The following is a 14,631-nucleotide window of genomic DNA, read 5'->3' as shown; positions in this document are numbered from 1 at the left end:
ATAGTGGAGCCCTGCCACCAAGGTGACCATTTTAGCTTACAGTGTTCCCTATCAGGTGAGCTCCCTCTGGCAGTGCACCACCTTGGTGGAACTGCCTGTTTGAACAACAGAGCTGGGGATAGGGGCTGGGGGGTAATAAGAGCATCCCCACACAAGAATGCCCCAGACTCATGCTGTTTCCACCCAGTGTTCAGGGTTTTCAGAATTAAATGCTTCTCAGTTTGTTGTATGCCTTTGGTTGATTTCCAACATGATGAGATGGTTGTTTTTGGCAGTTTTGCCCAGTTTTATAGTTGCTTTTCTGGAGAGGATGTGTTCACCTCCTTACTTCATCATGTTGGAAACAAATGTTCTTTTTTTTTTTTTGAGAAGGAGCCTTGCTCTGTCGCGCAGGCTGGAGTAGTACAGTGGTGCAATCTCAGATCATTGCAACCTCTGCCTCCTTGGTTCAAGGGATTCTCCTGCCTCAGCTTCCCGAGTAGCTGGGATTACAGGCACCCGCCACCATGCCCGGCTAATTTTTGTATTTTTAGTAGAGACGGGGTTTCACCACGTTGGCCAGGCTGGTCTCAAACTCCTGACCTTAAGTGATCTGCCCATCTTGGATTTCTTAAAGTGCTGGGATTACAGGTGTGAGACACCACTCTTGGCCCAAATGTTCCTTTTTAAGGAGCATGCCAGATATTCTGATGTACATTTTTTATGATCGTGTGTCTTCTTTAGAATTCAGTAAATACTGCCAGGCATGGTGGCTCATGCCTGTAATCCCAGCACTTTGGGAAGCCAAGGTGGCCAGGTCACCTGAAGTCAGGAGTTCGAGACCAGCCTGGCCAACATGGCAAAACCTCGTCTCTACTAAAAATACAAAAATTAGCTGAGCATAGTGGCAGGCGCCTGTATTCCCAGCTACTTGGGAGGCTGAGGCAGGAGAATCACTTGAACCCAGGAGGTGGAGGTTGCAGTGAGCCAAGATCGTGCCACTGCACTGCAGCCTGGGCAACAGAGTGAGACTCCATCTTAAAAAAAAAAAAAAAAAAAAGCAGTATGTTTTGAACACCTTATGTTCAACCTTAACAAAGCTTTTCTATCGGTGGGTTTCTGTTTCCCAAGGTTTTCCCCACATTCCTCTGAGTAATCGAATACGTACAATACATCTTGCATTTCATTAAAGCAACATAAATACTCAGAAGTAGTTGTGCCTTAATATATCTTTTATCCTTCTTTCAGAATTGAGCGGCTGGCCAAGGATATTATGAAAGACATAGGATATAGTGACATCATGGTCCTGTGTGTGCTTAAAGGAGGTTACAAATTCTGTGCTGATCTCGTAGAACACCTTAAGAACATCAGCCGAAATTCAGATCGATTTGTCTCAATGAAGGTTGATTTCATCAGACTAAAAAGTTACAGGGTAAGTTATTACAAGTTCCGCTTTATGACATTTCATTTAACAATGCTTTAGGATAAAAGAATCAATAATGTTATGAAAATGAAGAGTGCAATTTTTAAAAATGGAGATGAAAATGAAGGGTAATTTTAATTTGCAAGAATACGGCAACCTAACATAAGAATTCAAATGATACTATTTAGGGCGTGGGGTGGGGACCTTCTCTCTATTTTCACATATATGGGAAGACTCAGCAGTAATGATTTGTGCTTTCTTTTATGGTGATAAAGTGAGTGGTTATATCCTGGTGCCCAGCCCCACAACTGTGTGTGGTCAGAGTGTGAACACTGATTTGTTTTTTCTACTCTGGATGTCACTATGGGTCCTGGGGACCTATGGGAGGGTGTCCAGCCCAGAGAGGAGTCTTAGTACTTGGGTGGCTGCAGTTGTGGCCTGGAAGTAAAGAAGGGAAGGCTATAGGGACAGCACATTGCCAAGTGTGAGGAAACAAGGCCAGGGAGCTCCAGCAGAAGGCCCCTCCACCAGTTTACTCCATTAATTCTGTCTTTCTGTGGGCACCACTGGGCAGAATTAATGGAATTATTCTCCAAAGATGTTTCCTAACCAGATGCAGTGGCTCATGCATATAATCCCAACACTTTGGGAGGCCAAGACAGAAGGATCCCCTGAAGCCAGGAGTTCGAGACCAGCCTGGGCAACATAGTGAGTCCCTGTCTATATACAAAAAGAAAATTTTTAAAATTAGCTGAGTGTGGTGGCATGTGCCTATGGTCCCAGGTACTCAAGAGGCTGAAGTGGGAGGATTGTTTGAGCCCAGGAGACAGAGGCTGCAGTGAGCTGTATGGCACCACTGCACTCCAGCCTGGATGACAATGAAACTCTTGCCAAAAAAAAAAAGCTGTTGTTTCCTTAGTCTCCCTCCTCCTCCCTCTATGATGTTAACTTCTTTGATGCTTTTTGATTTAATGCATAGTAAAACATTAAAAATAACTTACTATTGGGTGAGGAGCTCTTGGAGTCAAACCATGAAAATATTCTCGTTGACTAAACTAACTTGACACATTTTAATTCATGAATCACTCTTTGAATTGGCCTTCTATTGCTGTGTGGCAAACTCACCACAAACGTAGTGGCTTAAACCAACATACACGTGTATTATCTTAAAGTTTCTGTAGGTCAGAAATCTGAGCATGGTGTAGCTGAGTTTTCAGCTCAGAACCTTACAGGGATGAAATCAGTGTGTTAGTTGGGATTTTGATATCATCTGAGGTTTTCAAGATCACTGACTGTTGGCAAGCTCAGTTCCCATTTCCTTGTTGACTGTAGGCTGGAGTTGGTAGACTCTCCACTCCTAGGGGTTGTCCCCAGGTGTTTGCATCAATTACCCCACAGGTCGTTCACAACACCATTAGCTGTTTGCTTCTTCAAGTCTGACGGAATAATCTTAGCCCTTCTTTTATAGCTCACCTGATTAGATCATGTTCACCCAGGTAACCTGCCTTTTGATGAACTCAAAGTCATCTGACTAGTCACCTAATCTTTGGTGCGAATTCCCACCACGTTTACAAGTCTTACCCACACTCAAGTGGAGAGGATTATGCAGGGTGTGTACACCAGGGGACAGCGGTCTTCAGGGCCACCAATCTGTCTTCCACATTCCTCATGTGACTCTCAGTTGCCTCAGTTCTAGAGCAGCTGGAAATTAGTTCTGATTTCTTAAGATACTCTGTGTTTTCCTGATCACCTCTCAGGCCAGAGTGAAGCTGGTTTTTGAAGACATCTTAGCTCTGATTTCTTGGTTTTATCTTCTCCTGAGAATTTTTTCTCTCTTTAGATTATCTTCCTTCTGGGTTAAATCCCTGTGCTTCCTTCATACCAGATTTCTCTCATTCACTTGGCCCTGACCCTTATTATATTTGTCCCTGGTTAACAGCATTTTAAAAACCTGTTAACATTTTTTTTAATTAAAGTCAGGTTTATTGAGCCACCGTTTACATGCAGTAACATCCATCCTCTTTAGAGTTCAGTGAATTTCAACAAATGCATACAATCATGTAAATCACCACAGTCAAGATATAGAACAGTTTCCTTAACAATGCAAAGAATGTCCTTGTGTCCTTCACAGTCAACCTCCTGAACCCCTAAGCCCTGGAAACCACAGATACGTTTTCTTTTCCTAAAGTTTTGCCCTTTCCAGAATGTCTTACAGATATAATCATATATCATGTAGCTTTAGTAAATCCCTAAATCATAACATAATGCATTCATCCATATTGTGTGTATTGTTGATGAAAAGAGTCAAACTCCGTAAAATATTTCAACAGATTTATTCTGAGCCAAATATGAGTGACAAGTAACCTGTGACACAGCCCTCAGGAGATCCTGAGAACATGCGTCCAAGGTGATCAGGACACAACTTGGTTTTATACATTTTAGGGAGACAGAAGTCATCAATGAATACATGTACAGTGTACGTTGGTTCGGTCTGGAAATGTGGGACAACTAGAAGCGGCAGCTTCCAGATCATGGGTAGATTAAAAGAAGTTCTGATTGGCAATTGGTTGCAAGGGTTATTATCAATAGAAAGGAATGTCTGGGTTATGATAAGGAGTTGTGGAGGAAGCCAAGGTTTAATCATGCAGATGAAGCCTTCAGGTAGCAGGCTTCAGAGAGAATAGATTGTAAATGTTTCTTATCAGACCTAAGGGGTCTATTCTATCAGCAATTCCTAAAGGGAGGAGGGGATCACGAGGCATGTCTGGCTTCTTCTTCCCATCGTGGCCTGAACGAGTTTTTCAGGTTAACTTTGGAATGCCCTTGGCTGAGAGGAGGGGTTCATTCCCCACAGCTGGGGGGCTTAGAATTTTATTTTTGGTTTACAGTATCAGTTCTTCTTCTTCTTCGTATCAGTTCTTCTTCTTCTTCTTCTTCTTCTTCTCCTTCTTCTTCTTCTTCTTCTTCTTCTTCTTCTTTGTGTCCAGTAGAATTTGATTATATAGATAGAGTGCAGTTTGTTACTCCATTCATCAGCTGAAGGATATTTGGGTTGTTTCTATTTTGAAGCAATTAGAAGTAAAGCAGCTATAAATATTCACATGCAGGTATTTGTGTGTACTTATGACTTCACTTCCCTTGACTAAATATTTAGGGGCAAGATGGGAGGTCATATGATGAGTGTATATAATAAATTGCCTGGCCAGGTGCAGTGGCTCATGCCTGTCATCCTAGCACTTTGGCAGGCCGAGTCGGGCAGATCATCTGAGGTCAGGAGCTCAAGACCAGCTTGGTCAACATGGTGAAACCTCATCTCTACTAAAATACAAAAATTAGCCAGGCATGGTGGCAGATACCTGTAATCCCAGCTACTCAAGAGGCTGAGGCAGGAGAATCACTCGAACCTGGGAGGCAGAGGTTGCAGTGAGCTGAGATTGTGCCACTGCACTCCAGTCTGGGCAACAGAATGAGACTCCATCTCAAAAAAAAAAAAAAAAAATTGCCAAACTCTTTTCCCAAAGGATTGAATCATTTTGAATTCCCACCAGCATATGTGACAGTTCCTGTTACTCCATGTTTTCAATAACACTTAGTATTATCAGTTTTTCCTTATTTTTTTCTTGATTTTACCTGTTCTAATAGGTGATGATATCACATTGTGGTTTAATTTGCATTTCCCTAATAAATGATGATTTGAACATAGTTACATTTGCTGGTTTGCTATTCATATAGCTTTTTTGATGAAGTGTTTGTTCAACTATCTTACCCATTTAAAAAATTGGGTTGTTTTCTTATTATTGTATTTGAGAGTTTTAAAAAATATATTGGCCATGAATTTTTTATTAGATATGTGTTTTGATATATTTTTTAGTCAGTGAGGTTTTTTCATTTTGTTTTTCAAAGAGCATTATTAAAAAATTTTTTAAGTTCAGTTAATCTAGTGTGTCCTTTTGTGGATCATGCTTTTGGTGTACCTAAGAAATCTGCCTAACCCAAGATCACAAAGATTTTCTCCTTTTTTTAAAAAGAGAAGTTTCATAGTTTTAGATTTAAATTTAGGTCTGTGAGACATGTCATGTTAATTTTTTACTACGATATAAGGTATGGATTGCGATTCCTTTTCTTTTCATTTTTGCATGAAGTGTTCGATTATTCCAGGATTATTTGCCAAAAAGATGATCCTTTTCCATGGAGTTGCTTTTGATCTTTCACTGAAAATCAGCTTACTTTATATATGTATGTTGGTCTATTTCTGGACACTATCAGATCTGTTCATCTACATTGTCACTGCTTTGATTACTGTAACTTTATAATAACTCTGTAAATTAAGTAGTATGTGTCCTCCAACTTTGTTCTTTTTCACACTGCCTTGGCTATTCTTGTTCTTTGTCTTTCCATATAAATTTAATATCATGTAGCTGATTTCTACAAAATAACACATTAGAATTTTATCAAGATTGCCTTGAATCTATAGATCAATTTGGGGGGAATTGACATTGTAACACTATTTAGTCTTCCATTCCATGAACACGGTATATCTCCTAATTTATTTAGATCTTATTTCAGTGTTTTCTGGTTTTCAAGTGTCAGATCTTAGGCATATTTGGTTAGATATATACTTATATATTTAATGATTTTGATCCTATTATATTCAGTAAGTTTTTCTTTGAATTTCAAATTCCAATTATTTATGGGTAGTATTTAGAAATACTATTAATTTTGTATATTGAATCCTATGACTTATGAAACTCACTTATGAGTTCTAATAGCTTTTTCATAGATTCTTTTGGGTTTTCTATGAAGATAATAATTTCTTCCTTAAATAGAGATGATTTTGCTTCTTCCTTTATACTTACAGACCTTTTATTTCTTTTTATTGCATGATCATGCCAGTTAGGACCTCCTATACACTCCTGAATATGAATGGTGGGAGAAAACATCCTTGCCTTGTTTTCAGTCAGTATAATACTGACTGTTGGTTTTTTGAAGATGTTCTTTATCAGGTTAAGGAAGCTCCTTCTATTCCTAGTTTTGCAAGAGGTTTTTTCATATTTTCTTAAAAAATTATGAATGAATATCATCAGTGCTTTTTCTAGAGATGTTGATATGGTAAAATACATTGATTGGTTTGCTAATGTTGGACTATCTTTCCATTAATGTAATATAATGACATATTATCCTTTTCATGTATTGGTGGATTCAACTTGCTAATTTTTTGAGGAATTTTGCATTTAAGTGCTTGGAGGATATTAAACCATAGTTTTTTGTTTTTTTTTTTTCTTATAGTGCCTTTTTCTGATTCTGGTATCAGGCTTATATTGGTCTTTTAAAATAAACTGGGAAGTATTTTCTCCTCATCTTTTTTTCAGAAGAGTTTGTGTAGAATTAGTACTAATTCGTCTTTGGTATTTGGTAGAATTCACCAGTAAAACCATCTTGACATGGAGCTTTCTTTGTCAGAAGATTTTTTTAATTGGAATTAAGTTTATTTAGTAGATATGGGAGTATTCAGGCTAATAGTTTTCTCACTCTTTAATAGTTTGTGTCTTTCAAGGCATTTGTCCATTTTATCTAGTTTTTACATTTCTGGACATAAAGTTGTTTATAATATTCCCTTATTATCTTTAATCTCTGTAGTGATATTCTCTCTTTCAGTCCTGATAGTATTAAATTGTATCTTCTGTCTCTTTCCTTTTCTTCACCAGTATGCCTAAAGGTTTTTCAATTTTTTTATTCTTTCAAAGAACCAATTTGTTGCTTTCTCGATTTTCTCTTTTGTGTTTATGTTTTCAGTTTCATTGATTTATGCTTTTATGTTATTTCCTTCCTTCTGTTTGTTTTGGGGTTAATTTTCTTTTATTTTCCTAGTTTCATAAAATGAAAGTTGAGTTCATAGATTTGAGATTTTCTTATTTTCTAATACAAACATATAATGCTGTAAGTTTTCCTTTAAGTACTTCTTTAGCTGCCTCTATACATTTTGATATATTGTGTTCATTTTCATTCAATTCAAACTATTTTCTAATTTCCTCTTTCACTCATTGGTTGTCTCGTGTTGTTTAATTTTCAAGTATTTGGGGGATTTTCCATACATAATTCCTGTATTGTTTCTAGTTGAATTCTGTTGCAGAAACTGTATTTTGTATGATTCCAATTCTTTTAAATTTTTTGAGGCTTGTTCTATGGCCCAGGATATATTTTATATTGCGGAAACTATCACCATTGTAATCCATGTCAAACTAAATACTACTATTTCTTTCTAATTTCTCATACCTTTTCCTTGCGTATTTCTCTAAACAGCACCTCTTAAGGGTGACCACTGAAAAAATAGGAATGTTATTTATAATTTTTCAGCTAGTAAAGAGGATGAAAAGGAATAAAGGAAACTCCAAACTTGATTAATTCAATAGTAGACACAAAATAAGAAACAGGCAGCCTTATTATATTTGTACTACACATAATGAAACAGACACCTGAGATGTTCAGTAACATGCCCAAGGTCAAGCAGCATGTAAGTGGTGGATCTAGTATTTAAATCAAAGTTCCACGCCAGAGCTCAAGACTGTGACCACTGGAGTGTACAGTCTCCCTAGAGATGTGTTGAGATAAATTAGGCTAAAAGGAAGAACATTTGACCAAATGAATCAGCATTATTTTTTCTTGAGCTTTATTTTGACATTCACCTAACCCGGCTAAGCCAGCTTCTATTATTGCTGGAAGAATGACAATATCCATAAATAGACAATTACCTGCTTTTTTTTCTGAAATGTTTTATATGTTGAATTAATAAGCTATCAAGTAGTACCTTCTAAGAAAATGAATATTAACACTGGGTTTTTCTGTAAATTATGGAAAACTATGCTTTGCTTTTCCTCTTTCTGCCCTGCACCATGGAGATACTCCACAAGACATGAACTTTCACTCTACCTGCTTGTTCTCTGGATTCACTTAAAGCTTGCTTGCTGCTTTTAGGAGGCCAAATCCAGAAAAATTCGGAAAGAACCTTGAGCTTCAGGCTTCATACTAACTCCTGAGCATATAGAGACTCGAATCAAAGAGAAACAGGCATAATTCAGCAGTCCCTTGAGCTACCCGATTGTGTGTGTGTGTGTGTGTTTGTGTGTGTGTACATGTGTTTAGAGGCAGGGTCTCGCTCCATCACCCAGGCTGCAGTACAGTTGTGTGATCATAGCTCACTGCAACTTCAACCTCCCTGGGATCAAATGATCCTCCTGCCTCAACTTCCCAAACAGCTAGGACTGCAATCAGATTTAGTGTGTTTTGAGAAAGCTCTATCAGGGTGGAAGTGGGAGGCCTTTTGGGATATCTATTCTAAGGGACTTTGAGTGGAAAAACAGGAGGATTTGAGGGAAGTATTGTTAGGTGCCAGCAAGTGACTTTTTAGACAGCTTTTTTGTATGTGGATGCATTATTTGCCAAGTTTTTTCCCTTTATTCTCTCTCAAATGTTGCCCTGGTTTAAAAGCTCATTAATTTATATGCAATCCAATGTGAGGATAAAGTGTAATTCAGAGGTGCAACATTCTGATCTCATTGTTTCCCACCAATTTGGTTAGCTAACCTCTGTACAAAATACAATCTTCAAACTACAACTTCAAGGCTTTAAAAATTGAGGATGAATGTTATTTTAGGCAAGCCACAGTTGCCCTAGATCCTGCCCCATGTTGTTTGAATGTGCCCTGCTTTGTATGAATAATTCCTGCATGTTGGCAACACCAAGAGATTTTTTGGAGCTAAAATACAACTCACAGTGTAACCACAGTAGGGCCGAGAGATTTGCCACACAGGGGATGTGGGCCCCTGGGGAAGCTGGCGTTCGTATTAAAGAAGCTCATTAGAGCTAAGGGTTAGCCACAAACCTGCTCCCTTGAGGGAAGAGAAACGCTAAATACATTTTTTCTCTCTCATTCCCACAGTTCAGAACAAAGGGTTTAAATCAGTCAGCTCTTGTTATCTGTGCTTGTGAGGAATGGGAACAGAATGGATAAGCCAGGTTCAGTGTCTTTAGTTTTAGTGAGTAGTCTTTACCCTACACCAGGGTGAACTTTTGCTGAACTGTTTCCAAGTAGCAAGGGTGCCTGGAATTGAAAGCCTCCCTTTCTTTCTTTCTTTCTTTCTTTTTTTTTTTTTTTGAGACGGAGTCTGCCTCTGTCGCCTAGGCTGGAGTGCAGTGGCTGCGATCTCGACTCACTGCAAGCTCCGCCTCCTGGGTTCACCCCATTCTCCTGCCTCAGCCTCCCGAATAGCTGGGACTACAGGCGCCCGCCACCACGCCCGGCTAATTTTTTTGTAGTTTTTTAGTAGAGACAGGGTTTCACCGTGTTAGTCAGGATGGTCTCTATCTCCTGACCTCGTGATCTGCCTGTCTCGGCCTCCCAAAGTGCTGAGATTACAGGCGTGAGCCACTGCGCTCAGCCGAAAGCTTCTTTTTCTTGGCACGGTGGCTCACACCTGTAATCCCAGCACTTTGGGAGGCCGAGATGGGCCAATTACCTGAGGTCAGGAGTTCCAGGCCAGCCTGGCCAACATGGTGAAACCCCATCTCTACTAAAAATACAAAAATTAGCTGGGCGTGGTGGTGGGCACGTGTAATCCCAGCTACTTGGGAGGCTGAGGCAATAGAATCACTTGAACCCGGGAGGTGGAGGTTGCAGTGAGTTGAGATTGTGCCACTGCACTCCGGCCTGGGCAACAGAGCGAGACTCTGTCTTAAGAGAAAAAAAGAAAAAGAAAGCCTCCTTTTCTTTCTGAGACAGGAAATCTGTGTTTAGCAGAGTCTCACCTTGGGCTTTGGGTGAAGAAAAAAGACTCCAATTCTTTGAAGATAGTAGAAGAGTTCCTCAGTTGTGGGGGGGTGCCAGATGGGTCCAAAGTAGGTTTATAGGTAAGCACATGCACACACACATACATATTTTTAAGTAAAAATGGAGAGGAAAAATAAAGAAATAGGAAAATAGAAGAAAATAAAGGACTAGAAGAGGGAAGATGAGAGACCACAAAAATTCTAAAACTTACCATATTTCACTAAATCTAAAGGCATCATAGATTGTTACTTTATGTACCACTATGAAAGAAAAAATGCTCTAAATTAAGCCATGATTTGACATGGATTGTATGTAAGATGCATCTTGATTTGGGAGATATTATAACAAAAAATGTGTAACTTGGAGTTAGTGAAAATTGGTAGCGCCTCATCTTTTTCAGCAATTTTATTTGCAAGTGTTCAAATAGCTGAAATATAACAGAAAACATTGTCTTTACTCTTTGGTCATTTAAAAATCTTGGGTCCTGTGCCGGGTGCAATAGCTCACGCCTGTAGGATCCCAGCACTTTGGGAGGCTGAGGCAGGCAGATCACAGGGTCAAGAGATAGAGTCCATTCTGGCCAACATGGTGAAACCTCACCTCTACTAAAAGCACAAAAATTAGCTGGACGTGGTGGTGTACACCTGTAGTCCCAGCTACTCGGGAGGCTGAGGCAGGAGAATCTCTTGAACCCAGGAGGTGGAGGTTGCAGTGAGCCAAGACTGCGCCACTGCACTCCAGCCTGGTGACAGAGCAAGACTCTGTCTCAAAAAAAAAAAAAAAAAAATTGGGTCCCGCAATATCACTTCAATACTCTTTTGCAAACAGTTGGGTATTTCCTTTGAAGCTACAGATTTTTTCCATGTTAGTGTCTAAAATATTTTTTAACATCCTCAAAACATTTTTGCAGACTTCAAAGGGAGAGTTATTAACTAAAGAGTACATCAGGAATAGGCCTGGGTGGTTTGAATCAGTTCATATAAATCATTAAAAATTAATCAGAAGTATTTATGAAAACCAGAACATAATTTCTCTGTGACCTCTGGATAGAAACGCTGAAACATCTGTCTTATTCCTATGTGTACTGAAACAAAGAGTATTGACAGTCCTGTTTTCTCTTTGACTTTTGGTTTTTAAGAGGTATTTATGATGGGCTTTCAGCAGGGCATGGATGAAGAAACTTGGCATGAAACAAATATCTAGTTTGGCCTAAAAAGAGATCATCTAGCATTGCTCTAGGCAAGTTTACTCTGAGATAGTTAATTCTATGAAGTGAAATTTTTTTTTAAAGTGAAACCAAAGCCCATTTATGTAATAAGGTTAATCTCAGTATTTTTTGTTATCACTCCTTACAGCCTTTTTATTTTATAAATATCCATGCATTTTCTTGACATACATTCTTCATATTCAAATTTATTCCTCTAGAGAGATTCTCATTAGAGTTTGTTTTTCCTTGTGAAAAGCAAACACTGAGAGGGAAAATAAGAGAATGATGCAGAAGGAATTATTAAATTATAGTATCAATCCAGTGTTGAGAGATCACTCTGGGGACAGAGCTGTGCTCAACTTAGCTGACTGCAACAGGCTGGGGTTGAATCCAGGACCAGGAACAGGACCCGGCCCTGGAGCAGACATCTCGGGGAATGGACTCACTCTGCTACAGATGTGAGTTGAAGTCCAGTGCAGCAGGGGTCATAAGTAGTTGAAAGATGGATGAAATGGCCGGACGCAGTGGCTCATGCCTGTAATCCCGGCACTTTGGGAGGCCGAGACAGGCAGATCACTTCAGCTCCGGAGTTCGAGACCAGCCTGGGCAACATGGTGAAATGCCAGCTCTACTGAAAATACAAAAATTAGCCAGGTATGGTGGCGGGCGCCTGTAGTCCCAGCTACTCAGGAGGCTGGGAAGGTTGCAGTGAGCTGAGATTGTGCCACTGCACTCCAACCAGGGTAACAGAATGAGACTCCGTCTCAAAAAAAGATGGATGAAAGATCACAGCCTTCAGAACTCCAAGTATTAGGTAGCCAGTATCAGCCCACTTGTGTATGTTGGTACCACTGCTAATAAAACATAATATTCACTGAGTACTTAGGGCCAACTATTGTCCTAAGTGCTTTATATCTATTAGCTTATTAAGCCCTTGCAAGATCCTTATAAAGTTTCACAGGTAAGAGCATGGAGGCCAGAGGGGTTAGCTGGGTTCCCAAGAACACACAGCTAGAAGTGACATCCAAACTAGGTCCTTTAACACCATGTCTGTCTCCTGGATCTGTGGAAGAGGAAAAGGACTCCAGTCCCTAGGAGGTGGACTGGCAGGAGAAGAAAGCCCTCTAGTTCTGCAGGAGTACTGGGCAAGTTCCCAGGAAGAGACGTGGGCACAGGACAAGGGACAAATCCAGAGCACACAGTGGATACTGGAACTTGGGAACAGAGCAGAAAGACCAAAACCATTGTGAGAGGCATAACATTCAGTTGCTGGGCATCAGACTCCAGTTGGCTGCCTAGCAGTTCCACAGAGTTCCAACCCCACCTAAGGTCGGATTTCTTCCTAGCGATTTGATGAGGTCGAGCCAGTAGATGAAGTGGGGATAGGATAGGGAGCAAGTGACTTAACAGTTAGGAGGGAGGAAGCTGGAAACTAGGAAGGGTCAGACCCACAAGAAAGTGTATGTGTTATTAGTATTAATCACAACAGATGCCTGAAGATTTCAGTTGTATTTCACGTTGTCTGCATTTCCTCCGTTTATCATTTGAAAGCTTGCTGGTCCCATGAAACTTAAGCATGCTATGTATATATACAAAAAATATGCTTGTATTAATCTGTTCTCATGCTGCTAATAAATACATAACTGAAACTGGGTAATTTATAAAGGAAAGAGGTTTATTTATTTTTTTAATTATATTTTAAGTTCTAGGGTACATGTGCACAATGTGCAGGTTTGTTACATAGGTATACATGTGCCATGTTGGTTTGCTGCACCCATTGACTCGACATTTACATTAGTTATTTCTCCTAATGCTATCCCTCCGCCAGCCCCCGACACCCCCTCCACAGGCCTCAATGTGTGATGTTCCCCGCCCTGTGTCCATGTGTTCTCATTGTTCAACTCCCACCTATGAGTGAGAACATGCAGTGTTTGGTTTTCTGTCCTTGTGATAGTTTGCTAAAAATGATGGTTTCCAGCCTCATCCATGTCCCTGCAAAGGACATGAACTCATCCTTTTTTATGGCTGCATAGTATTCCATAGTGTATATGTGCCACATTTTCTTAATCCAGTCTATCATTGATGGACATTTGAGTTGGTTCCAAGTCTTTGCTATTGTGAAGAGTGCCACAATAAACATATGTGTGCATGTGTCTTTATAGTAGCATGATTTATAATCCTTTGGGTATATACCCAGTAATGGGATCCCTGGGTCAAAGGTATTTCTAGTTCTAGATCCTTGAGGAATCACCACACTGTCTTCCACAATAGTTGAACTAATTTACACTCCCACCAACAATGTAAAAGTGTTCCTATTTCTCCATATCCTCTCCAGCATCTGTTGTTTCCTGACTTTTTAATGATAGCCATTCTAACTGGAGTGAGATGTTATCTCATTGTGGTTTTGATTTGCATTTCTCTGATGACCAGTGATGATGAGCATTTTTTTTTCATGTGTCTGTTGGCTGCATAAATGTCTTCTTTTGAGAAGTGTCTGTTCATGTCTTTTGCCCACTTTTTGATGGGGTTGTTTTTTCTTGTAAATTTGTTTAAGTTCTTTGTAGATTCTGGATATTAGCCCTTTGTCAGATGGGTAGATTGCAAAATTTTTCTCCCATTCTGTAGGTTGTCTGTTCACTCTGATGATAGTTTCTTTTGCTGTGCAGAAGCTCTTTAGTTTAATTAGATCCCATTTGTCTATTTTGGCTTTTGTTGCTGTTAGTCTGATGGGCTTCCCTTTGTGGGTAACCCAACCTTTCTCTCTGGCTGCCCTTAACATTTTTTCCTTCATTTCAACCTTGATGAATCTGACAATTATGTGTCTTGGGGTTGCTCTTCTCGAGGAGTATCTTTGTGGTGTTCTCTGTATTTCCTGAATTTGAATGTTGGCCTGCCTTGCTAGGTTGGGGAAGTTCTCCTGGGTAATATCCTGAAGAGTGTTTTCTAACTTGGTTTCATTCTCCCCATCACTTTCAGGTACACCAATCAAACATAGATTTGGTCTTTTCACATAGTCCTATATTTCTTGGAGACTGTGTTCGTTTCTTTTCACTCTTTTTTCTCTAATCTTGTCTTCTCACTTTATTTCATTAATTTGATCTTCAATCACTGATATCGTTTCTTCTACTTGATCGAATCAGCTATTGAAGCTTGTGCATGCGTCACGAAGTTCTCGTACTGTGGTTTTCAGCTCCATCA

At 39.7% G+C, this 14,631-nt stretch overlaps 1 protein-coding gene across 2 annotated transcripts in view; it reads left to right on the top strand.

The window, feature by feature from the left end:
* Positions 1–14,631, top strand: part of PRTFDC1 (phosphoribosyl transferase domain containing 1) — a 103,993-nt gene that overhangs the window by 14,012 nt on the left and 75,350 nt on the right. For both annotated transcript variants that reach the window (NM_001282786.2, NM_020200.7), the window contains exon 3: positions 1,228–1,411. In NM_001282786.2, coding sequence (NP_001269715.1) covers positions 1,228–1,411 — 184 coding nt within the window. The remainder of the gene's footprint in view (positions 1–1,227; positions 1,412–14,631) is intronic.

Source organism: Homo sapiens, chromosome 10 (genome assembly GCF_000001405.40).
Source record: "Homo sapiens chromosome 10, GRCh38.p14 Primary Assembly".
Taxonomy (NCBI): domain Eukaryota; kingdom Metazoa; phylum Chordata; class Mammalia; order Primates; family Hominidae; genus Homo; species Homo sapiens.
The sequence above is the reverse complement of the archived record's forward strand: the minus strand, read 5'-3'. Positions and strand labels throughout refer to the sequence as shown.